Source organism: Homo sapiens, chromosome 7 (genome assembly GCF_000001405.40).
Source record: "Homo sapiens chromosome 7, GRCh38.p14 Primary Assembly".
Lineage (NCBI taxonomy): Eukaryota > Metazoa > Chordata > Mammalia > Primates > Hominidae > Homo > Homo sapiens.
The window spans coordinates 10,922,370-10,947,299 of record NC_000007.14 but is presented as its reverse complement, the minus strand read 5'-3'; the positions used below and the strand labels follow the sequence as shown (position 1 = coordinate 10,947,299).

General features: G+C 39.8%; 1 protein-coding gene and 1 long non-coding RNA gene across 2 annotated transcripts in view, besides 4 other annotated features; one reads left to right on the top strand and one right to left on the bottom strand.

Annotated features, from left to right (window-relative positions):
- LOC107986767 (uncharacterized) overlaps positions 1-7,044 on the bottom strand; it is a 28,179-nt gene extending 21,135 nt beyond the window's left edge. The window contains exon 1 of the long non-coding RNA XR_001745091.3: positions 6,569-7,044. This is a non-coding gene — a long non-coding RNA (uncharacterized LOC107986767). The remainder of the gene's footprint in view (positions 1-6,568) is intronic.
- Positions 6,090-7,010: an enhancer, noted in NCBI's record as "NANOG-H3K27ac-H3K4me1 hESC enhancer chr7:10979917-10980837 (GRCh37/hg19 assembly coordinates)". NCBI's record gives its function as "activates a minimal SCP1, AML or CMV promoter by ChIP-STARR-seq in naive H9 embryonic stem cells {active_cell/tissue: H9 hESC(naive)}" and the evidence as "EXISTENCE:reporter gene assay evidence [ECO:0000049][PMID:30033119]".
- Positions 6,090-7,164: a biological region, named in NCBI's record as "NANOG-H3K27ac-H3K4me1 hESC enhancer GRCh37_chr7:10979917-10980837".
- Positions 6,615-6,864: a silencer, noted in NCBI's record as "silent region_17972". NCBI's record gives its function as "represses an Ori minimal core promoter by ATAC-STARR-seq in GM12878 lymphoblastoid cells {active_cell/tissue: GM12878}" and the evidence as "EXISTENCE:reporter gene assay evidence [ECO:0000049][PMID:35858748]".
- Positions 6,895-7,164: an enhancer, noted in NCBI's record as "active region_25659". NCBI's record gives its function as "activates an Ori minimal core promoter by ATAC-STARR-seq in GM12878 lymphoblastoid cells {active_cell/tissue: GM12878}" and the evidence as "EXISTENCE:reporter gene assay evidence [ECO:0000049][PMID:35858748]".
- On the top strand, positions 7,147-15,357 carry COXFA4 (cytochrome c oxidase associated subunit FA4). Its single transcript, NM_002489.4, has 4 exons — positions 7,147-7,284; positions 8,404-8,492; positions 9,153-9,210; positions 13,608-15,357. Exons 1-4 carry the CDS (start codon positions 7,243-7,245, stop codon positions 13,662-13,664), a joined length of 246 nt encoding a protein of 81 aa, NP_002480.1. The 5' UTR covers positions 7,147-7,242; the 3' UTR covers positions 13,665-15,357.

The following is a 24,930-nucleotide window of genomic DNA, read 5'->3' as shown; positions in this document are numbered from 1 at the left end:
TGAAGACCTAGGTCTTTGGTATAATATTCCAAAATTCATAGACAGAGTTTTCCTAAAATACTATTTAACCAGAAGGTTTCAGTGAAAAGAAGTACCACTACTTAAAATTGCTAGAGTCTCTACGCTTTTTAGTATTCATTGAATTTTGTACATCAAGTGCTTCAGGTATTTAATTTAAATTCATGACAATGTGTGAAGCTTTGAGATTTATGATGGTAGAAGTAAACTTCCACGGACCAAAAAATGTTTTCATTTTTCTAATAGAAATTTTATAATTAAATACAGTTTATGCCAAATAACCACAATACTAGTGGAAGAACATATTTGTTTTTAGATTAAGGATAGCTGTAGAATCTTTATTAACAAGTGAAGGTATAATTTGTATTTGTGTTATCAGTAAAACAACCAGTTGTCAATTTATCTACTAGAAAAATAATTAAGTGCTTAAATGCAAACAGAATAAAAAATATAAGATACTGTCTTCAATTTGCATTAATATAATTATACTCCATGACTCACTTATCAAATGACTTCTCTCTACAGAAACTAATTCTTCACTGTCACACACTGATAGTAACACATAATCACCATACCTTGTAGAATTTTCTAGGCCTGAAACATCAGGAAAAGTATGCAAGACAAATACTTTACCTTGGGTGCTACTGATATACTGCATAGGATTTTTAGAGCTATTTGCCATGTCTTACATTTAATTTGGACAACTAATATTTATATATTTTTTGTATTTTAAAATTATTCACAAAATTAAATCAAACACAAGAAGAAGAAATCCAGAGAGCACAAGTCCAAGTCTCAGAGGAGATGGGGCAAAGATATCTCCAATTTATGTCCTGCAGTTGTTTTATTCTGTGCTTAGATGCAAAATGTTTTATAAGTCTTTGCTGCCTAATGGATAAAGCCCCAAATCTATTTTTTTTGAGACCGAGTCTTGCTCTGTTGCTCAGAGCTAGGGTGCATTGGCACGATCTTGGCTCACCGCAACCTCTGCCTCCCGAGTTCAAGCGACTCTCCTCCCTCAGCCTCCTGAGTAGCTGGGACTACAGTCGCATGCCACCACACCTGGCTAATTTTTGTATTTTTAGTAGAGACAGGGATTCACTATGTTGGCCAGGCTGGTCTCAAACTCCTGACCTCAAGTGATCCACCTGCCTCAGCCTCCCAAAGTGCTGGGATTACAGGTGTGAGCCATTGTGCCTGGCTTCAGTTTCATTTCTTACAACTACTTCCTATGCAATCCACACCCCCATCACACTGAACTCATCTCAATTTCTTCCACACACTATGCACTTATATTATGAACTTCATTTCTCTGCCTTGTTCAGACTGTTTCATCCTATGAAATTCAATTCCCCTTCTTTTTTGGCCTGATCATTCTGCACAGCCCAGTACAACGTCACAGTCTTCATTAAACTCTTCACAGGCCCCACAGTCTTAATTCTTTCTGTATTATCAATTTTTGTTGTTGTTGTTGTTGTTTGAGGCAAAGTCTTGGTCTGTTGCCTAGGCTGGAGTGCAGTGGTATGATCTCGGCTCACTGCAACCTCCCCCTCCCAGGTTCAAGTGATTCTTCTGCCTCAGCCTCCCAAGTAGCTGGGACTATAGGCATGCACCACCATGCTTGGCTAATTTTTGTATTTTTAGTAGAGATTGGATTTCACTATGTTGGCCAGGCTGGTCTTGAACCCTTGACCTCAGGTGATCCACCCACTTTGGCCTCCCTAAGTGCTGGGATTACAGGCAGGAGTCACAGCACCCGGCCTCTGTATTATCAATATTTTTACTTTTGTTTTCTTCGTTACTCAAATCAAATCACTTTGGTTAAGCCTGGTGTCAAAAGAGAGAGAAAATATAATCTTTTACCAGTAAAAATATTAAATATTTGCAAGCAAAAGAAAATCTACCACAGTCTGTCCTTCTGATTACAATCATTCAGGTCTTTTTCCTCCCTCAAAATACACTCACCAAGTTGGAGATAACTTAAAAGCCCTATACTGTCATTATTTCCTGCTCAAAGTCGACAATCTATGAATAATGCTATAGTCTTTATGTTTGTTCTTGATATATCTCCTCTTGATCTGGAGATCTATGAAGAACAAAGACAAGTTATTTGCCCACAACACCCAAAATACAATGGTGAAATGGGAACTGGATAACTACAATGAATGATACTACTCAGAAAGTAAAGAATGGTCCTGAAATTTCACTGTCTTGAAGTTGCTGCTAACTTAAAGTGGGGAACAGTCCTTGTTTAGGCCCTGATTTTGCCATTTTGGGATTTTTTTTCGGGATTAGTTCCAGTCGAATTTTCTCTGTGGCTCTTGCCTCACACTCTGGCAAGTCTTGTCTTAGAGCTGTTTAAGAAAGCCATTAGAGAACAGACCCTCCTCGGAATATGAGTATGTCTCTCTACCGGCTTCCTACCTGCAAAAGATGGAGGAGCTCAAGTGTCTTTTCATATTTCAAACCATGAAGTTTCTTTAATCCAATGCTGATCATTCTTTTCACAGTACTTACTCTACTTCTATTTGATTTCAGTCAACTCCATGCGCCAATGCCACAGCCACAATTCTTTTTGAGACATACCTCTGTCTTTCTTTAGACTTAATGTCAGTCACCTTAATCCTATCACGCTTTGGTTGGAGAGCTACATCCTTACCTGTTTGTCCAGACTTTAAAATTGTTCAGCTGAAAGGATTTACTGAAGGCATCTTAATTTACTGAAATGTTTTAACAAAGGTATGATGGCCACATTCTTGATTGGGCCATTATCTTCCTATCAATTCATCTTTGTAGCCCAAATGCCTTCCCATCTTTATTTTAGACAGCTAGATATGAGAATCAATCAGATCTTCCAACTCTGCATGTCTCTAAATTTCTGAATGTTTTACTCCCTGTCATTACAGTTTGCAAACTGACCAATTATTTTGAGTCCATATCTTTATTGTACTACCTTGTCAACTGTAGCCAATAGTAACTGATACATGCTAATATACTCTTTGCCTGCTGTTTCACTGAAAGCTACCAGCTCACTGGGAACATTAACTGCCTTCCAATTAATTGAAATAAGTGTTTCACCAAATGTTCCAATACTGCATTACATATAGATAGCCATCCTTCTAGTCCCTGGTAACAGTTACTTTGTCACCTACTGCCAGGACCTAAATCCTATGCCACATATTTTAGGATTTTTATTATGGTAACATGTCACCACACTTTCAGTGTCAAATTATTTACTTGTCAGGGTAGGCTAGGTTATGCCACATTAAGAAACTACTCCCAAATCCAGTCACTTGCAACAATAGAGGTTTATTTCTCTATTTTTTTTTTCAAGACAGAGTTTCACTCTTGTTGCCCAGGCTGGAGTGCAACGGCATGATCTCGGCTCACTGCAACCTCCGCCTCCCGGTTCAAGCGATCCTCCTGCCTCAGCCTCCCGAAGTAGCTAGGATTACAGACACCCGCCACCATGCCCAGCTAATTTTTCTGTATTTTTAGTTGAGACAGAGTTTTACCATGTTGGCCAGGCTGGTCTTGCACTCCTGACTTCAGGTGATCCACCTGCCTCAGCCTCCCAAAGTGCTGGGATTACGGGCATGAGCCACCAGGCCCAGCCTATTTCTCATTCTTAATACATGTACACTGCAGGTCAGTAGTGGCTCTGTTCCAGGTAGTTCTTACCCTGACACCTAAGCTGATAAGCAGGCTGTATCTAGAATATTGCTAGTCTTGTGGCAGAGGGAAAACTGACAACATGGCACATGTTGGCTCTTAAAGTTTTTGCTTGTGCATGGCATGTGCTACTTCTCACTTCGCATTTGCTAATAAGGCAAGTCTTCTTATTAAGCTTGACCCTCATGAGGCAAGTGATATCTCCTTCTAGGTAGAGGCTGAAGCTATCTGCATACAATTTAATCTACAACACATACCAATTCCACTTCTGCAGCTCAGGAATTTTGCGTTGTTTCTTCTACCATGGCTTCTTTTTCCAGACTGTCACCTCTACCTGTCCCTACTTAAAATATAGGTGACATACTCTTTCCACTAACTTCAATGTGCAAAATTTAAACTTTCACAATTTGACATTTTGGTTAATATTTAATGAAATTTATATTTGTAACCTTGCTTTGTTAACATCTCTAAAGGCATCACTTAGGCCAGGTGCGGTGGCTCACACCTGTAATCCCAGCACTTTGGGAGGCCGAGGTGGGCAGATCACGAGGTCCAGAGATCGAGACCATCCTGACTAACACGGTGAAACCCCATCTCTACTAAAAATACAAAAAATTAACCGGGTGTGGTGGCATGTGCCTGTAGTCCCAGCTATTGGGGAGGCTGAGGCAGGAGAATCGCTTGAACCTGGGAGGCAGAGGTTGCAGTGAGCCGAGATCGTGCCACCACACTCCAGGTTGGGCCACAGAGCGAGACTCCATCTCAAAAAAATAAACAAACAAAAATAAATAAATAAAGGCATCACTTAGCTATCTATATTATTGTTGTCTCTAGAAGCTAGGTCAATGACAAAAAAAAGTTAAGTCTCGCGCCACTGCATTCCAGCCTGGGCGACAGAGTGAGACTCCGTCTCAAAAAGAAAAAAAGTTAAGTCACTGGATTTTAGTTTCTTTTTAATAATGGCATTTCTACATACCTACTTATTATCAACTGTTATTATTCAAAATAAAATATTGGAAGAAGAGGTCTCCCTTCTTCTAATTTATTTGCTGAAAGCCTATCTACACTCACTAAGGTTTCTTTGTTCACTTCTAAGTATTTTCCATGTTTTTGTGCTGATCTTTTAACACAGCCATGCTCCTTACCATAGCCTATAAGGTCCATGTCAGAGAATTGGACATAGACTTTACAGACTCCACTGTTTGCTCTCATTTTCCTCTTTTTCTCCTTAGTTATGGATCAACCACACTGATACTTTTTTAAGCACTCTTCTTCTTCTTCTTCTTTTTTTAAATCTCAAAGCCATTTCTCTTACTAATTTAGTGTTCTTCCCACATCTTTACCAGGTTACTTCCTTCCTTTCATTTAGGTTTCAACTCAGAAATCCTCAGACGGACCTTCCCTGTCCTGTCTACTTAAAGTAACCTCCTCTCCTCCACCTCTTCCATGTCATTGTCTGTCTCATTATTCTATTTTATTGGCTTGTCACTGTCTAAAAATTATCTCATTTGTTTATTGTTTGTCTTCCTCAATTAGTATGTAAGCTCCATTAGCAACGCAGAGTAATTTTCTTGTTCACTGCTATAACTCTAGTGGCTAGAACAGTGCCTAGTGGAGAGTAGGTACTTAAGAAAGATTTGCTGAATGAATGAAAAAAGACACCAGTCTTGATAAGCTTCATGACATATCACCTTAACAGTTACCATCTATTTTTTTTTTCCTACCTACTGGCCATACCTCCTCTTCTAAGCATTGCATGTTGGAATTCCTCGGCTCTGTGTCCTCTGTCTAAATTCTCAGTCAACTTTCTCTCCCTAAGTAATCTCATTCAGTCACATGGGTTCATTTCTTATCAGTAAACTGAGTCCTAAATTTATACTTATAGTGTAGTTCTCTTCTGCCCCATAGAGATCCACTTGAATTTTACATAGGCACTTATACATCATTCTCTACGGCTTATTTCAATAACTGGCATCAACAACCACAGAGCTGCTCAAAACTGAACCTCTGAAATTATTCTTAACTTCTCTCTCCTCACTCCTGGAGAGCCAACCACCAAGTCCTGTTGGTGCCACCTTCTAAACATCTCTGGAATCTTTTTTTCTCATCATTACATTCTCTACACTAGTTCAAGCTACCATTATCTGTCACACAGATTATGGACTATTGCAATGGCCCCTTGATAGGTCTTTCCCCTCTCACGCTTATCCCTTCTAATCAATTATTCACAAAGCAATCATTTAAAAACACAACCTTCCCAAGCTCTCAACATAAAACCCATGATGTTTAAGCGGTTATTGGCCCAGCAGATCTGATCCCCACCTTGCTCTCCCTTTTACTTTCCAGCCACACTAGACCTCATACAGCTCCCTCGGGTTTTCAATAGCTTCAGACCTTCACGTGTTATTACCTCCGCCCTGTACACCTGCATCCTCCGTTTTCACCTGGTTAATGTCCGCTCCTCCTTCAGAGCTAGTGTAACTTCCGGTGGAGCCTTCTCCTATGATTTCTAGTCCCAATTATTAATACTTGCTTGATCATTTGATTAATGCTTTAAGCTACGTATGAGATTGGAGAGGGTTCAGAGTGTACATTTTATCCCAATCCCCCCACCCTCCCCCGCAAAGCCTGTCCTATGGAAGTCCTTCGGGTAAAAAAAACAACGAAGAAAACAAAACAAAAGACAAATGAAAATTCGACTGGGGTAGTGGGAAAGATTATCTGTAGCTACACGACCATTGAAAACACATTTTAAAGATGCAATTTGGGACCAGGGACGGGGGATAGTGGCGTGTTGGAAAGGTCTTTGTGGCGACGAACTTTCAACCGAGGGCCAGGATCTGAGGGTTCAGAAATACACTGCCAGGACTATTATCACCTTTAAGTCATTTACTAGTTTTTAACTTCTGCTTGTCTGCGACAGCGTAACACAGGAAGCAGCTGCAGTCTTCTCAAACCGCAGCCGCTGACCTTAGCGGCAAGAGGCCCGACCTGCCCTCCAGGCGCCCGGCGCTCGGCTCCCAGAGGCGCCGCGCAGCTCCCTCAGCGGCAGTCACAGCTGGCCAGCGCGCACCCGGCACGCGCGCCCCCAGGGCCTCTGCGCGCGGACCCGGCTCTCAGGCGCCGCGGGAGAGGCCCCCTACTCACGGAGCGCGCGGCCCGTGCGCCCACGCTCCGACCGCATTCCTCAGTACGTGGCACCCTTGGAAAGTGCCTGTCTGGTCAATCGAAGAGTCCTCGTTTCGACCAAAAAAATTCCCCTCAGAAATATGCATGGCACGGCAATGAAGGCATTTCACTATGAAGTGGAATGATGATGGTCCGACCAGGTCAGGACGAACATATGAGGGGTTAGATCTAAGCAGGCACTATTAAAGACAGTCGCATCCGGGCCCTCCTGCCGCAAGCTGCCCTCCCAGCCAAGGGTCCTTCAGGTAGGAGGTCCTGGGTGACTTTGGAAGTCCGTAGTGTCTCATTGCAGATAATTTTTAGCTTAGGGCCTGGTGGCTAGGTCGGTTCTCTCCTTTCCAGTCGGAGACCTCTGCCGCAAACATGCTCCGCCAGATCATCGGTCAGGCCAAGAAGCATCCGAGCGTAAGTTCGTGACCGCTCTCCTAATGTTTTCCCTTGTCCTTCTTGCGTCGGGGTGCGCCTCTTTCTGTTCCCTGGGAACGTCCTCATTTACAGCCACTTACCGTCCGTCAGACCAGACCCTGCCTCGCCTAGTGTTTGTCATCTTAGTTGTCCCAGGCCTCTGTGACCCTCTACGCCATGCATTGTGGGGTTTTGTCTGACAGGAGGAAGGAGACGGACACTGCTCGGAAAAAAAACCTAGTTTTTTCTAGTTAGTGAATATTGGAACAGTCTGGTGGCCGCTCTCTTTTGCAGGTTGTGCGGTCCAGGAGGGATAGATGTGCGCTGTGTGGGTCAGAGACTAGCATAGGTCAGGTTCCCTATGTGTTATACCATCTCTGGAGGTTCTTGTATTCGCCGCATTGCACCACCAGGCCTTTTGGTAAATAAGAGGGGTCCGTGATCTTGGAATCCTCACTTTGTCTGGACGTCGTTGCTTTTGGGAAAATTTCGAAGTGTGGAAATTGCAGTTAAGTTCTTTGGCATCTCATTTTTCCTCAGCACATCAATGTGCTGTAGAGCTAAAAGTCTATGCAATCTTTAATCTGTCTTAAATCCGGTTCCCTAAATACGCAGCAAGCATTGGTAGCATTACGTTTTCAGAGATAATGCTTAAAGCCAGTATTTGTAATAGATACGTTTACTTATTCAGATTCTATTTTTCATACATCTTTATAGAGGCACCCTTAAATAATTTGCAAAGAATTTGTTTTTCAAGCCCCAGGATAAAGGAAGCCAGAAAATTTAATGGGAATGACATGTAAATATTAGAGAGGTGAAGAAGACTCGATACATTTTCTTGGAAATTTAAAAATGTACCTATAATTTGCTCCACATTAAAAAGTAAGACACTTAAACCAGAGTCATCTTAACATCCTTTCCAAATTCCATTTCTTTCTTTAGAACACAGTTATAAGAAATCTTACCTCAATGTAAGATCTACTTTATTTAAATTTTAAGACAAAACAGTCCAATAACAGTTTGAGACTTGGAAATCAATGTGCAGAAACTACTGTAATCTCTCGTTGGCCAGTGTTTTAAGTATTTGAAGATGGTTATTCTATTTTGTGTTTGGTTTAGTTGATCCCCCTCTTTGTATTTATTGGAACTGGAGCTACTGGAGCAACACTGTATCTCTTGCGTCTGGCATTGTTCAATCCAGATGTTTGGTAAGTACTTAAAAATGTTTAAAACTTTGATAGCTGATCAAGGCAGTTTAGGAGCCACAGTCTCTGTAGGGCGATAACATTAGGGTAGTAGAAAGAATGTTACATTTACAGTCATACAATAAGTTCAGATCTCAAATCTGCTGTTTTCATTTACTTTTTTTGGTTCATGAAATTATCTAATTTCTCTGAGTCTCGTTTTCTCTTTGGTAAAGTAGAACTGCTAATACCAAATCTTGTAATGTTTTGAGGATTGACATAAAAATAATTGTTTTTATAAAATAATCATGGTTCTCGGCACATGTAAATGTTTTTTGCCTTCACTTGCACATTTGCAGTTGAAAAACAATAGACAATCAAAAGATTGATTCATCATTATTCTATGCACTTTTCTGTATATCACTTTATTAATTAAATGGAAAGGTTTTGTGAAAGCCAGATAAAAAGTATCTTGTGATAGGGATTCTGTGTTCTACCTTTTTTCTAATTGATTACATGAGATTGCTTATTATAGATCCTCTACCTGTTTCAACTTCATAATGAAATAACACCATACCTCATCTAATAGAAAATAAGATTGATCTGTTCAAAAATGTATTCTTAGTACAAAACACTAAATAGTGCTTTATTATTATAACAGTCGTAATGTTTTATTTCTTTTAGTTGGGACAGAAATAACCCAGAGCCCTGGAACAAACTGGGTCCCAATGATCAATACAAGGTAAACTACAAAATTGTTTTAAAGTTGTTAGAAATTGTGTTGTAATAAGTTTTGTCATGGGGTGGGTTTTCTTGAAACTGGATATACGAGTAAAATTCCATTATATTGAACTTTAAAGAGCTGTTAGGTAGTTCTGTGAAATGAAAATGGTATATTGCTCTAATAAATATTTTTTGCTAGGTATTTAATTGCTAGTATAAGAAAAGAAGGAAAAATAGTATAGCTATCATTTACCATTTTCTTAGTTCTTAGGTAGTCTAACACAGTGTTCTCAAACTTCATTATACATAGAGCTTGTTGAAACACAGATTCTTCAGCCTTATCCCCAGAGATTCTGATTCAGCTGGTCTTTTGTGGGGCATGAGAATTTAGAGTAGTCTGTGGAACTACTCTTCTAGAGAATGATTTCATGGACTGAGACCATTTATTGATTCCCCAAACATAACCTTCCTTATGTGTAAAAAATTTTGCATACAAAGACCCTGCACAGCATCAAAACCAAGGGCAGGCCAGGCACGGTGGCTTATGCCTGTAATCCCAGCACTTTGGGAGGCTGAGGCGGGCAGATCACTTGAGATCAGGAGCTGGAAATCAGCCTGGCCAATATGGTGAAACCCCATCTCTACTAAAAATACAAAAATTAGCTGGGCATGGTAGTAGGTACCTGTAATCACAGCTGCTCGGGAGGCTGAGGCAGGAGAATCGCTTGAACCTGGGAGGTGGAGGTTGCAGTGAGCCAGGATCACGCCACTGCACTCCAACCTGGGCAACAGAACCAGACTCTGTCTAAAAAAAAAAACCCAAAAAACCAAGGGCGGCTTCATTAAGATACCATACCATTCACATACCATACAGTTGACGTGTTTAAAGTTTATAACTCACTCAATGCACTTTCCATAATATCAAGCCATTTCATCAAAAGAGAGTAACTGGCTGTTTGATTTATCACTCTGAAGAACAGGGTCCCCGATCAGTGTGTGTCCAGCACTGCTTGACAGGTGTACATCTATGATGGATTATTACTCATAGCAACGTTTTTTTGTTGTTGTTGTTGGAGACAGAGTCTCACTCTGTCGCCCAGGCTGGAGTGCAGTGCCATTATCTTGGCTCACTACAGCCTCCACTTCCCAGGCTCAAGTGATTCTCTTGCCTCACTCTCCTGAGTAGCTGGAACTATGGCACGCACAACCACACCCAGCTGATTTTTTGTGTTTTTAGTAGAGATGGGGTTTTGCCGTGTTGGCCAGGCTGGTCTTGAACCCCTGGCTTCAAGTTGATCCGTCTGTCTCAACCCCCCAGTGCTGGTATTACAGACGTGAGCCACTGTGCCCGCAGCCTGATAGCAACTTTTAACATCACCCTTTGTGGATTTCACGTTTTCCCCTTAACCTGATTATAATTTGGCTTCTAAATCCTTCAGTAAATCTCCTTACAAGAAGAAAATAAAAATGCAATGGCTAAGCTGAAACATCGATCTCATCTGTGTTATATTTTGCCTCTAAAAAGATAAACGGGCATCCTGATTTGTTTTTATGTCTTATGACATTGTTTATGAATTTGTTTAAACTAAGTCCATTCCAGAGAAAATAATTCCACATACAAGAAACTTTTAAAAAGTAAACAAACAAACAAAAAAACTAGCAGGCTTTGATTCTTCCACCAAAGAGCGTATTGGAATCTATGGGTATGTGTAGTTCAAAAAGTGTAACAGATGATTCCGATAATGCAGCCAGTCTACTAATGTTCTGAAATATCACAACACATGCCAATATGAGGCCTTGGGAACCGAAAATGAAATGTTGCTGTAACAACATAGCTGTTAATAGCTATGACACTGATAGCAGAGTCTGGAAAGATGAAGAGTGTCATGTTATGAAATGACAGAAATGAAAAGGAACCAAATCCAGAAACTTGAGAAGCTGGAGTAAATGAAACCTACTTAATACTTTTTCTAAACCCATTCAGGTAGACTAGATTATTATCTCCATCATTCACAATCTCTCACCTAAGAGAATATGTTTTTCTGGCCCACTGACATCAGATTTGATTTGTGACTTGCTGTGGGAAATTATGAGTTGGAGGAAATGATACCTGCCACTCTTGGACCATTATGTGGTCCCTCCGTTCTTTTGCTTCTCTCATGAGACCAAAATTGACAAGTAAGGGCTACTTATTCACCTTAGAATTGGAATGAAACAAATATGGAGCAATCAGCATACAGATGGCATATAATGTGAGTGAAAAGTGAACTTTTGTCGTTGTAAGCCGCTAAGATTTGAATGTGTTAATTTGGGCTGCCGTAACAAGATACTGTAGACCAGGTGGCTTAAACAACAAATTTATTCCTCAGTCCGGAGGCTGGGAAGTCCAGATCAAGGTGCCAACCAATTCTGTTCCTCATGAGGGCCCAATCCAGTTGTGTCCTCACAATATGGAAGGAGAGGAGTGAGCCCTCCTGTAAAGGCACTAGTTAGAGTGTTCCACCCTCATGACCTAATTACCTCTCAAAGGCCCAGCCTCCAAATACCATCACCATTGGCGTTTGAGGTTACAACATGAATTTTGGGAGGACATAAACATTCAGTCCGTAGCAGAGGATTATTTGTTGCCATGCTATAATCTAGCAAAAGCTATGAATAAAACAGCAAGAGACAGGACCAAAATAAGATTTGAGCATTAAAGGCCCAGCAATACTTCTCAACTGAATAACAGTTGAAGCTCCCCAAAGCTAAGATCAGAATATGTTGTGCCTTCCCAACTATTGTTTCAGAGACTCTAAAAGTAGCCAGCATTAAACTGAGAAAAAGAATAGAGGTAGGGAAGTTGAAAGCAGGTTTTAAAATTCTAGAGAGAATTTTGGATATGAAGCAAGTAAATCAGGAGCCTGCTTAGTTTTAAGAAAATTGGCAACAATGCCATGAATGTGCTTTTGACTCTGCGTGGGTGTAGGGCCTTGATCCTGCAAATCGTAGAACTTGATCTCAATTACCTCTTTTATAAATTAAGAATCAGAAGGGTTATTGTGATGATTAACTAAGATATACATAAAGCATCTAGCCCGGTGCCTGGGCAGGAGCCCAACAAGTGTTTATTTTCCTGTCCTTAATATATACCTGCAGACCCTTCTGTAAATTATTTCTGATATTTTGTTAATATGTTAGAGGATAGCACAAGTAGTTTCTTTTTCTTTTTTTAACCTTATTGTCTAGGTTAATTGTTTCTTAAAAGAACACTGTCAGAACAAAGAATACTGCTTTATGGATTATTTATAATTTTCTGTCCATAAAAGTCTGTATCTGTCTGTATCTCAACGATAACTTGGTAATAAGCTTTACAACCTGAGGATTTTTTTTGTCAGTAAAATACTTAAGAGTTTTTCAGAAATAAATAAGTTCGGGTATATTTGAAGAAATAAAAGGGGTTTGAAGAAAGAATGAATATAGATTTGTGAACTTCATGCTTAAAAACCCTGAAGAAAATGTTTATCATTCTGAAATTGTGGTTCTTTTGGAGATAAATAACATAGTCTTCAAGTAATTATAGCACAACCTCTTTAGCATTCTTTGGCACAAGAATGAGTAAACCCAAGATTTTAGCCTTATTTGGGCTTGTGTACAAGCATTAATATGTCCTTAGTAGAAACTCTGGACCAGTTTCAAATATGTCATTTTTTTTTAAGTTACTGAGAGAGGGAGTTTTTTTTTTTTTTTTTTAAAGCAATCACAGTAAGATTTATTTCTAAAAATTAATATTAATTGATTATAAAGAAATGTTGGAAATGTAAACAGCAAAAATACCGTATTATTTAAAAGCCATTACCAGAGTTGAAGTGTCAGTTTGATATTGAATATAGTCTGGATTAGGAAATTAGTGAGAGAGAGAAAATATCTTAGAAGTTATGTAAACCACAAAACAAAGCAGTACCTTATATTACTAGCCTCTTTTTGTTGCAGGATCTCTCCCTCTAAATTACAGCAGTTCATTCAGCAAGTAGGGAAGGTAATTCTTGTTAATCCTCTATTCTGTTGGCGATTCTTCCACGTACTTAGTAGAGTTAAGGCAAAAACTTACCGAATTGGAAGTATGTATCAGAAGGAATTCTTAATTATTCACTTTGAAATAAAAGAATTTTCCTTATAGGTTCCAAGTAGTAGACTGTACTATAATACTGCTCTTCTGAAATAAATTGAATATTTTTACCTTGCCAAAACTATCATTGAAGGCTGGAATTTTAGGTACAGTATTTTTCTGTGAATGATTTTATGTTGTTAAATATTCTTTTAAAAATTCATATCTGTAATTGTTACTGTAGAAAACCAAATACAAAGAATTCTAAAACCTTTGTACCGTCTCTGTGTATTTGAGATTACTTAAAATATCTTTTTTTCTGTTCCAAGTTCTACTCAGTGAATGTGGATTACAGCAAGCTGAAGAAGGAACGTCCAGATTTCTAAATGAAATGTTTCACTATAACGCTGCTTTAGAATGAAGGTCTTCCAGAAGCCACATCCGCACAATTTTCCACTTAACCAGGAAATATTTCTCCTCTAAATGCATGAAATCATGTTGGAGATCTCTATTGTAATCTCTATTGGAGATTACAATGATTAAATCAATAAATAACTGAAACTTGATATGTGTCACTTTTTTATGCTGAAAGTATGCTCTGAACTTTAGAGTATAGGAAATTAACTATTAGAATTTAAAGAATTTCTTGAATTTCTGTAGTTTGAAAATACGACTTTAAGCTGCTTTAGTAAAACACTTCCATTTTGTGTATAGACTGTTGGTAACTTCACTAGAGCATACATAACAACTGGAACTGGAAATTATACAAAAGTAAATTGGGAAGGATACTCCAGCATCTGACACTGGCAAAATGGAAACCTTTGAGTTTCTCTTACTGGCTGTTGAAGTGTGTGCAGTTTTTAACAATGGTTTTTACTTGGCATCTCTTTGTTGTGATTTTCAAGGTTATAAGTTGCTTTGGTCCTAGGATTGAAGTTGAAATCTGAGTTTATCAGTGCTAACCATGGTGCTAGTAGTCAAGAGATCTTGAGAATTTTGGCTGCTGAGTCTTGGTGCAGGGTGCAGGTTTTCTTTTCTTTTTTCTTTTTTTTTTTTTTGAGATAGTCTCTGTCACCCAGGCTGGAGTGCAGTGGTACAAACATGGATCACTGCAGCCTCTACCTCCCGGGCTTAAGTGATCCTCCTGCCTCAGCCCCTAAGTAGCCGGGACTACAGGTATGTGCCACCATGCCCAGTTAATTTTTGTAATTTTTTTTAGAGACAGGGTTTTGCCATGTTGCCCAGGCTGGTCTCAAACTCTTGAGCTCAAGCGATCCATTCTCCTCAGCCTCCCAGGGTGCTGGGATTACAGGCGTGAGCCATTGCGCTTAGCCATGGTGCAGGTTTTCAAAGGCCAGGAAGTATATTCATAATTTTAAGATGGGGAATATAGCAAGTTTTCACATAGGTGTGTGTAAGTCATCACATCATAGAAACTTGAGGAATTCAGTGACATTAATTTTGGATTTTCATACGTAAGTATACAATTAAATGTTTACAGGGTAGTAGAAGCACATTTTAAATGTCAGGAACTGAACTAAGTATTTGAATTACGTGGATTATCTCAAAAATTTTGAAATTGTTAAACGAGTTGAATTACTTGAATTCATTCTGTTAGTCAAATGGTGGATATTTACACCCATGTAGTTTTGAATTTAGAGTGTGTAGAGTGTTTTCAGTTACCAGACTCCATGCTTTTACCTCCTATGTGTCAGGTATAATTTGAACCTCTAAGAACAGGGTTTCTCAACCTTGCCACTGTTGACTATTTCTGAAAGACAGTTTGGTTTAGCAGACCATCCCATGCGCTTTAGCTTGTTTAGTAGCTAACTTGGGCTCTGCCACTACAGACAAAAAGCACTCTTTCCCTCCAATTCCCACAGGCTATGAGAAGAATGGAGACATTACCAAATGTCCATTGGTGGGCAAAATTGCTTCATTCCTACCTCTGTTGAGAATTACTCTAGATCCTTTGGCACAAATTACCTCAAAGTTTAAAATTGTGTAAACAAACAGTGTGTCATGTAATTGAAAAACATTAAGCAACTCCAAATAAATGCTACATTAAGAAATTAGTAATAACGTTTTCTAGAATTGAGGATCATTTTATGCATCCTTAAAAATTCTTTGAGTAGTATCTTTCTACTTTGTGTCTATCCTTGGACTTTGCAATGTAAGAATACATATGAAGTTTGGCATGAAATAGGATATGTCTTAATGAAGAAACTATTACTGCTATTTAAGAAACTTCAATGGCAATCTAAAGAAATTGTCATTTACAAATGCATCAGATACCAATGCTGCCACGAAAGATAACACACTTTTTTTCTTTGAATGTTTAGAATTGTGCTTGTGCTTTTTTTTTTTTTTTTTTTTTTTTTTTTGAGACTGAGTCTTGTTCTGTCACCCAGGCTGGAGTGCCGTGGCGTGATCTTGGCTCACTGCTCACTGCAACCTCTGCCTCCTGAGTTCAAGCTATTCTGCCTCAGCCTCCTGAATAGCTGGGATTACAGGTGCCCACCACAATGCCTGGCTAATTTTTGTATTTTTGGTAGACAGTTTCGCCATGTTGGCCAGGCTGGTCTCAAACTGCCGACCACAGGCGATCCGCCTGCCTTGGCCTCTCCAAGTGTTGGGATTACAGGCGAGAGTCACTACTCCTGGCCCTACTATGCTTCATTCAGAAAACAGACTGCTGCCTTTGTTTCTCATGTTAATGAAGTCTGCAGGCAAAGCTGCATTTAAATACAGATATCCTTGGGTAGTATTTACATGTATTTAAAAATTTGCAGTTTTCATAATTTATATATGCTTCCCAGTAGGTACTTGTCTTACTCTGTTGCTATAAATGAATACCTGAAACTGCGTAATTTATACATTAAAAAAAGGGTTATTTTGCTCGTGATTCTGTTGGCTGGAAGATTGGACATCTGGTGAAAGCCTCAGGCTGCTTCCACTCATGATAGAAGGCGAAGGGTAGCTGGTGTGTGCAGAGATCACATAGACAAGAAGCAAGAGAGAAGGGGGAAGTGGTAGGTTCTTTTTAATGACCAGCTCTTTTGGGAGCAAATAGAGTGAGAACTCACTCATTACTGAGAGGACTACATGAAACCATTCATGAGGAATCTGTTTTATTACCCAAACACCTCCCATTAAGCACCACCTCCAACATTAGGGATCAAATTTCTTTTTCCTTTTTTTTTAATCCGCTTTTAGACACTGAGTCCTGCTATGTTGCCCAGGCTGTAGTGCAGTGGCTATTCAAAGGCACAAACAGTGCACTGCAGCCTCCTGGCCTCAAGTAATCCTCCCCGTTGAGCCTTCCTAGTAGCTGGGATTACAGACATGCCTCTGTGCCCAGTGGGGATTAAATTTCATGAGGTTTGCGGGGGACATACATTCAAACTAGAGCAGTTCCCCCCCAAAAAAGCTAAAAATAATTATACTAAATTTTACTTCTTTCAAGTTTATTACCCAACTCTGGTCAGATTTTATCCTCACCACTCCACTAAAAACGCTTCTGTTAAGGTTTTATCAGTGACCTCTGTTTGTGAATTCAAGTTGATCATCAGTATCACTTTGACCTAACAGTTGATACAGCTCCTTGAAACACTCTTCCTGGGTCCCTAGAACACCATACTGTTTTTGTTAACCTACATCACTGGCTTTTCTAGTCAGTCTCTTGCTCATGCCCCTTTGTTTCCTGAGCTATTTTCTGTTCCATTTATTTATTTAGAAAGGGTCTCTCTCACCCAGGCTGCAGTGCAGTGGCACATTCATGGCTCACTGCAGCCTCCACCTCCCAGGCTCAAGTCATCCTCCCACTTCAGCCTCCCAGGTAGCTGGGACTACAGATGTGTGCCACCACACCCAGCTAGTTGTTAATTTTTTTGTAGAGGCAGCATCTCACTATGTTGCCCAAGTTGATCTGGAACTCTCAGCCTCAAGCAATCCTCCTGCCTTGGCCTCCCAAAGTGTTGGGATTACAGGTGTGAGCCACCACATCTGGCTAAATGAGCTTTTTTAGGTAAGGGGATTAGTATATGTCATGGCAGAATACATGTTACTTAGTTATTATAAACATTGGAATTCATTTATCCTTTTCCTTTAGAAACTTTAACTGGAATTTTTTTTTTTTTTTTTTTTTTTTTTTGAGATGGAGTCTTGCTCTGTTGCCAGGCTGGAGTGCAGTGGCACCATCTCGGCTCACTGCAACCTCTGTCTCCCGGGTTCAAGCAATTCTCCTGCCTCAGCCTCCCGAGTAGCTGGGACTACAGGTGCATGCCACCACACTGGGGTAATTTTTTGTATTTTTGGTAGAGACGAGTTTTCACCATATTGGCCAGGATGGTCTCAGTCTCTTCACGTCGTGATCTTCCTGCCTTGACCTCCTGAAGTACTGGGATTACAGGCGTGAGCCACCATGCCTGGCGGGGAAAATTCTAAAAGCCATATTATATAAAACTTGGAAAGAAAAGGACTATTTGGTAAAAGCTTATTCAGCTGTTAACAATCTGATTAAATAATCTTTTTATTGCAAATATCATTGATTTCAACACATGAACAAGGTGACTGGCTTTTACACCAGAGCTGTAAGTCTTAAGAAGTGGGATGATTTTATTTCTCCCTAGGTTTGCTAAAGCAATGCCTGTCCACATAGCGTGCCATAATGTTCTACCCTCTCTGATTTGCATTGTGACTCAATGAATTAAAATCTTGATATGCAGGTCATCTCTCCTAGGTTGGAAATGATACTGAGTTAAACCATGCCTGATGTTCAAAGAATTATTTTATGCTATGTGAATGACAAACAGCATCTGGAAAAATGTATCTCAGGTCTCTTCCCCTGCTGTTGTTTTTAAATCGTAAAATGCAGCAGCTTGTATACTCTATAATAACCTTTTTCTGTTTGTTCCTAAGCAGAAAAAGAAAGGAATTAATTCTACAAGATTTTCAGACCTCCATCCTAAGTGAAGATACATTGCAAGCTTCTTTTTAAAACTTTGCTAAAGAGTCATTTAATCTTCCCTGTTATATGCAGACAGTCCCAACTTATGTTAGCTCTTCTTATGATTTTTTGACATTACAATGGTGCAAAAGTGATATGCATATTATGACATGATCATTTATTGAATAAATTACATGAGATATTCAACACTTTATTATAAAATATGCTTCTATATTTTATAATATAGATGTGTTAGATGATTTTGCCCAACTGTAGGCTAATGTAATTGTTCTGAAAATGTTTTTAGGCTCAACTATGATGTTTGGTAGGTTAGATGTATTAAATGCATTTTCTTTTTTTTTAATTTCCTTTTTTTAAAAAAAATTTCTTTTTAATTCTCAGCAAGGCAAGGTACTTCTACAGAAGAGTGTGCCCTTACAGATGGAGCAATGGTGAGCGCACACTTGGACAAGGGAGTGGGAGCGGTTCTTATCCCTGAGGCACATGGACCCTGCTGCTGTGTCGTTCCCCTACTGGCTAGGGTTAGACCACACAGGCTAAACTAATTCCGATTGGCTAACTTAAAGAGAGTGATGGGGTGAGTGGTTTGGCAGGAAAAATGGTTATGCAGGGTGGAGAATGAGTTAGGGTGGGGCAGGTAGCAGGTAATCAGAATGAGGGTGGAACAGGTAATTAGAATGAACCAGGGTGGAGCAGGTAATCAAAAAAGTTGCTTTATGAGGAAGTTAAGTTTAAAACTAGAAGGCAAAGAATTGAACATACTGACATATTGATTCTTTGAAAAGAATTTAGAACTCATATCTAACAACCCTTCCTCTTGCATTTTCTTACAGCTCTTTCTTTTCAAACTTTTTTTTAACATGTCTTGGCTTAGTTGTTTTGCTTGATTTTCCAAAAGAAGAAGCTCTGGATAAGGCGGAGGATAGCTGAGGGAGGTTTTAGTAGCTGCCATTTTTATGAGCCTCTGCACCAACCCACAGATGCATGGTGTGACACAGCACCTGACAAGAATAAGTACACCCATTACAGCTATGAGGGGAGTAAGAATTGAGGCTATTATTCTTTTTCATTTATTGAACCACTTTTCTAGCCTGTAAAGGGGTCATTTACCCCTGAGTTGTTGGTTAACTCATTGGACAGAGCAGTCAGACCTTCCAATGTCTTTGTTATACTTCCATCAGGGGTGGCGGTGTTTGGGATGAAGGTACAACATTGAGTTTTAATCATGATGCAAACATCTCCTCTTTCTGCTAATATCATGTCTAAGGCTGTCCTATTTTCCCAAGCCATCTGGCTTGTAGCCCCTAATTGCTCAGCTATTCCTTTAACAGCATCTCTAGTGTAGTTAATAAATCACTGTTGGTTGTAGTAGATGCAGTTTATCCATTTACATTTTTATTAATTGTCATCCACCAAAATATTGACTCAAATCCTGCAGCTATTTGATTTTGGGCTTTAAATTGACCTGGTATTCCCCGTGGGACTCTAATTGTGTCTAAATAGACGTGAGAGTCGAGAGACCCTTAAGGGGCTTCTCTTGCCTTATGATGTCTTATTTTTCTTTCCTCTGGTTGATGAAATGCCAGGGTGAAAGGGATGGCCAGCTGGACTAAAGCACAAGTGCCACTCCAGTTATTTGGCAGAGTGTCCAGTAAAGGTCCACCACAATACCACCAGACATCCACTCAGGGATGAACAAGGGCTGACTGATTGATAAGCTCTTGAAAATTCTTAAGCTCACTGCATCCCTTCAGGTCTCCAAGGAACGCTAAGTTTCCTCCTTGTTGTGAGAGACACAAAGTGAACTGAGTGTTGGGAGACAGAAGCTGGATGACCCTCAGGGGCTGACCCACAGGGTGCTGGACTTTGGGATATAGCAGAGAGAGAGCTTGGCACAACTTGTTACTCCAGGCCGTAGAATCCTGGAAATCCACATGTGATCGACTGGAGGACCACCCTGGTGGAAAGGGGACAGTCTGGGCCTCTGGCCTGCTGTGCACACAAGCATAACAATTGCTTTTGTTTAACGTGTGGATGGAATATTTGATCCATTCCAACCAGGCATTTGAATCTTGGTATCCTGTCTTAATTGCCAAAGTTTGTTTTAAGTCTTTAACTTCTACGATCCTCTAGGGAAATGAATGTATGGTTTTAGGAAATTACAAAAACTGGTTGGGGCAGTCCATCCTTGCCCACTGATTGCTGGACCAACTACAGCATAAAAGCTCTACATCGGGGGGGCAAGACTCCTGGTTGACACTGGAGTCTTTATCGAAATCTCCCCAGATTAAATGGTCCCAATTTACTAAGGCCCAGTCTGAGGAGAGTCAGGAGGGACAGCGGTACTTTTCTGAAGTAGAGAGCTGTCTTTGACTTGGCAAGTCCCCACAGGGTATAACAAGGCAAGCATCAAATGTAATAGTTTGAGGAGAAATTGACTTGGTTATGTTATAACTAGATGGTCAGCAATAGAGCGAGGGAAGAAGAAAGAGTAATAGAATAGATGAAAGAGAGTTAAATTTTTCTTAGCTTTAGTTTGGTAGGGTTTTCCCCAGGGACCATGGCCCACGACTCTGGAGGGGGTGGCGCTTTCTTGACTCAGGTGTGATGAGTCCATCCCCTTTCCACTGTACAAACAGTAGTCTTGGTGGTTAGCAGCACAAGGTAGGGTCCTTCCCAGGCTGGCTCGAGTTTTCCTTCTTTCCATCCTTTGATGAGAACGTGATCCTCAGGCTGGTGCTCGTTTACCAGAAATTCTAGGGGTGGTACATGTGCTAAAAGACTTTTAGTTTTGAGGGAAAGGAAAGTGGAAGATAAACCAAGTATATAATTTCTAAGAAATTGATATTTTGTTTTAAATGTGGGGACATCAGCAGTGGACTTTATAGTTCTTGGTGCCTTCTTACTGAGAAATTTCCTTTAGCACCTATTTTTATTAGTTTTTAGACCAAAGAAAGCCAAACACCATTTTATATTTCACAATGCTTCCTGTATGATTTTTATACCAGATAAGCTAAATGTCACCTTTATATTAGTGTGGTTTATTTTATTTTATTTTTTATTTTTTGAGACGGAGTCTTGCTCTGTCGCCCAGGCTGGAGTGCAGTGGCGCTATCTTGGCTCACTGCAAGCTCCGCCTCCCAGGTTCACGCCATTCTCCTGCCTCAGCCTCCCGAGTAGCTGGGACTACAGGCGCCCGCCACTACGCCTGGCTAATTTTTTGTATTTTTAGTAGAGACGGGGTTTCACCGTGTTAGCTGGGATGGTCTCGATCTCCTGACCTCATGATCCACCCACCTCAGCCTCCCAAAGTGCTGGGATTACAGGGGTGAGTCACTGCGCCCGGCCATATTAGTGTGTTATTAATATTAAACTCAATTTTAATAAAACCTTATAGACATATTTATCCAATTTTAACGTCTGACCATAAGGTAAGATTTTTATAGACTCTTTTTAACTTTTTATAATTTTTGTTAAAAAGCAGGTTAGTGCTTTAAGAAAAACCCGTTATGCTTTTATTTTAATGTCCAGTTCACAGAAAAACTGGATGATACCCTAACTTAAAGCAATATGTTTACACAGAGAATTTCCTTTATAATTAACATTTCAAAACTTGCTTAAACCTTCAAAACAAAAAAAATTTTTTTAACCCTTTAATGTAGGTAAAAATCCATACATTCTTATGCCTCCTTATAATCCTTTTACCAAAAGTATATTTTACTTTCCTTATACACTTTGCACATAAACTGTTTCTTCAATAGTTTTACATTCTGGAGGCCTGATTACTTTTAAATTATACAACATTTCTTGCATAAATTCCCTTTTATAACACACTTTTTTTTTCATGACTTTCACAGACAATTCTTTGACAGGCCTCAACTTTCTGACTTGTTGCGAACATCCCTTTCTTTAAACAACCAGTTACTTTACTTCAGGACAAGAATTTACCATATAACATTCTTTTTACATAAATTCTCCCTACCCCCACTTTTTTTTTTTCAAAGATGATAACCATTCTTTTCCAAAACAAACTTCCTTCATGTCTGCGGTCTAGAGTGTCTAAGGCCACAAGATTAGAGGTTAGGATAATACATGTTACACTGTTAACTTTTAGCAAACTTTACTTTTGTTGAAAACCTTGTAAGTTTGGGATTTCAATTATCGTTTGCTATTAATAAGACCTTGTTTAGTCCAACTTAACTTAGAATTGGTATAGATGGTTCCTTCCTGGTTCTGTAAATACTTTAAGGCTTGGCTAAGTGCAGACATCCTCCAGGAACCTCCAGGTATTCAGTTATCCAGAAGCTCCCTGAAACCAGTCCTCTGAGACCTTTTATGGAGACTTCATTTGATAGGCATGATTGACAACCATGTAGAAATGTGATTGGACAAAAAAGATATGATCTAATATTAATGGGCTGAGTGGGGAAACCCAGCAAGTCCTGTCTGTTCACATTCTTACTGGCTTCTCTGTGCAGCTTTCCTTCCTTCAGGGGATGGGGCATAACCCCTTCTGAAATGAGGGTCTTATGACCTGCGATCAGATTAGAGTCCTGCCTTGAGCTGGTGAAAGAAGGGCCAGGGAAGTTAAGAGAGAGAGAGTTTCTGTTTTCTGAGGCCTGCTTCTGAGGCTTAAAGTGCCCCAACGTCATAACAAAGGACTGTAACAAGGGCTATGGGAATTATTAGCCAGGAACAATGGACAAAAACCAATGTGTGTACATGCCATAATATCACAGCTTTAAGACTTTTCACAAATATGAAAAAATGAGTTTATTTTTATTTTTATTTTTATTTTTATTTTGGAGTCCATGTCTCACTCTGTTGCCCAGGCTGGAGTGCAGTGGCATAATCATAGCTCACTGCAGCCTCAACTCAAGTGATCCTCCTAACTCAGCCTCCCAAGTAGCTGGGACTACAGCAATTTTTTAAATTATTTATTTATTTATTTTTGTAGATACAGAGGTCTTACTATGTTGACTAGGTTTTGTCTTGAACTCTTGGCCTGAAACGATCCTCCAGGTGTGGCCTCCCAAAGTGCTGGAATTGTAGGTATGAGCCACCACACCTATCCCCTCAAAAGATGGTTTAAGATTTTTGCACAAATAAGAAAGCTGCTGTTTTTTAATAAATTTTTATTTTTAAAGTTTTTACTTTTTTTTTTTTTTTAACTCAACTGACATAATGTGCTGAGTTTTGTGCTGGGCACAGGAATACAAAGATGAGAGCCACTTTAAGAACTTACAGTTAAGTTGGGAAAATAAACAATGATCTTTCATAGTGATAAGTTCAAAGCAGTAGTTAAAAGCCACAGTTCAGAGGAAGGATTTTTTGTTTAACTGGTGTGTGTGTGTGTGTATGTGTGTGTGTGTTTCTGTGTGTGTAGAGTGATAGAGTTGTTGGGCAGGAAAATTTTCCCTGAGCAAATGACAGGTAAATTTGGCTTTGAAGAAGCAAATCTGCCAGAAAGATGAGGGCTAGACTGGGACAACATCAGATGTTGAATTTATGGGCCCCAGTGCAAAATGGCAACTTGGAGTACCTTGTAATATTAAGAATTACAAGACAGTGACAGCACAACATTAAACCAAGTTTGGGGTCTTGCAAACACAAGAGCCTACACGCAAATCTCATGCCGATCAAGTTGGCCCTGGTTAAGGGTAAGAAATTCCAGACCGAAGAAGTAGTCTATACAAAAGCATAGAGGCATGTGTTTGGGGTCTTGTTAGATTATGGTGTGTGTATATGGGTATATCGTGGACACAGGTTTGCAGGTGCTACTATGGAGAAGGGCAACACAACAAAAGAGTTAGTATGGTGGGTTTGTATTGTGTCAATTTAGTTAAGCAGGTACTGGCTTTCTGAGGATTCCCTATTCTGCATATTCAGGAATACTGTGGGCCACAAGAGGTATTTCACATGAGATTTGAAAAAAAAAAAGAAATGTGACAGCAACCATGATCTGTTTAAACTTGGAAGGTCTGTGGAGGGCACCAGGAAAATTTTTCCTGAGACAGATGAGTTTGGCTTTGAAGAAAGCCACAGATAATCCACGTTGTTCCTTATCTCCTAGTTTACCTTGTGGCCTGGGGCAGCAGCAGCCCCGTAGCTCCTTCATCTCCTTTCAGCCCTCTTTCTTAAGCTTCTCAAGCTTCCCGTAACAGAGTGCACCAGCTTCTCCTGCAGATCACCTACACATCCCATCACATTTTGAAGCTTGAAGGTATTGAGAGTCCCACACAGGTTCACCTTCATCCTTGTGCGTTCTGGTTTGTCTTCTCAGGTTCCACTTTGTCCTTTTTCTACTCAACTTCACATTTATTTCTTCTTTTCTGTTTAAGCTGTTTTGACCTTTTTTCTGTTTTAATTTTTTAAAAAATTCTATATATTTGTGGAGTACAAGTGCAATTTTGCTGCATTGATACATTGCATTATGGTGAAGTCAGGGCCCTCAGTGCATCCATCACTGGAGCAGTGCACATTGTACCCACCGATCAACCTCCCATCATCTACCCCTTCTCCACCTACCACCCCCGTGAGTCTCCACTGTCTATTATTCCACACTCTGCTTCTGTGTGTACACGTTATTTAGCTCCCATAAGATTAAAAAGTTTTGGCCAGGAACTAGAGTAATTTTCTTAATCAAAAAGTAAAAATCATGTAGAAAAAAGGACATGGGGTTT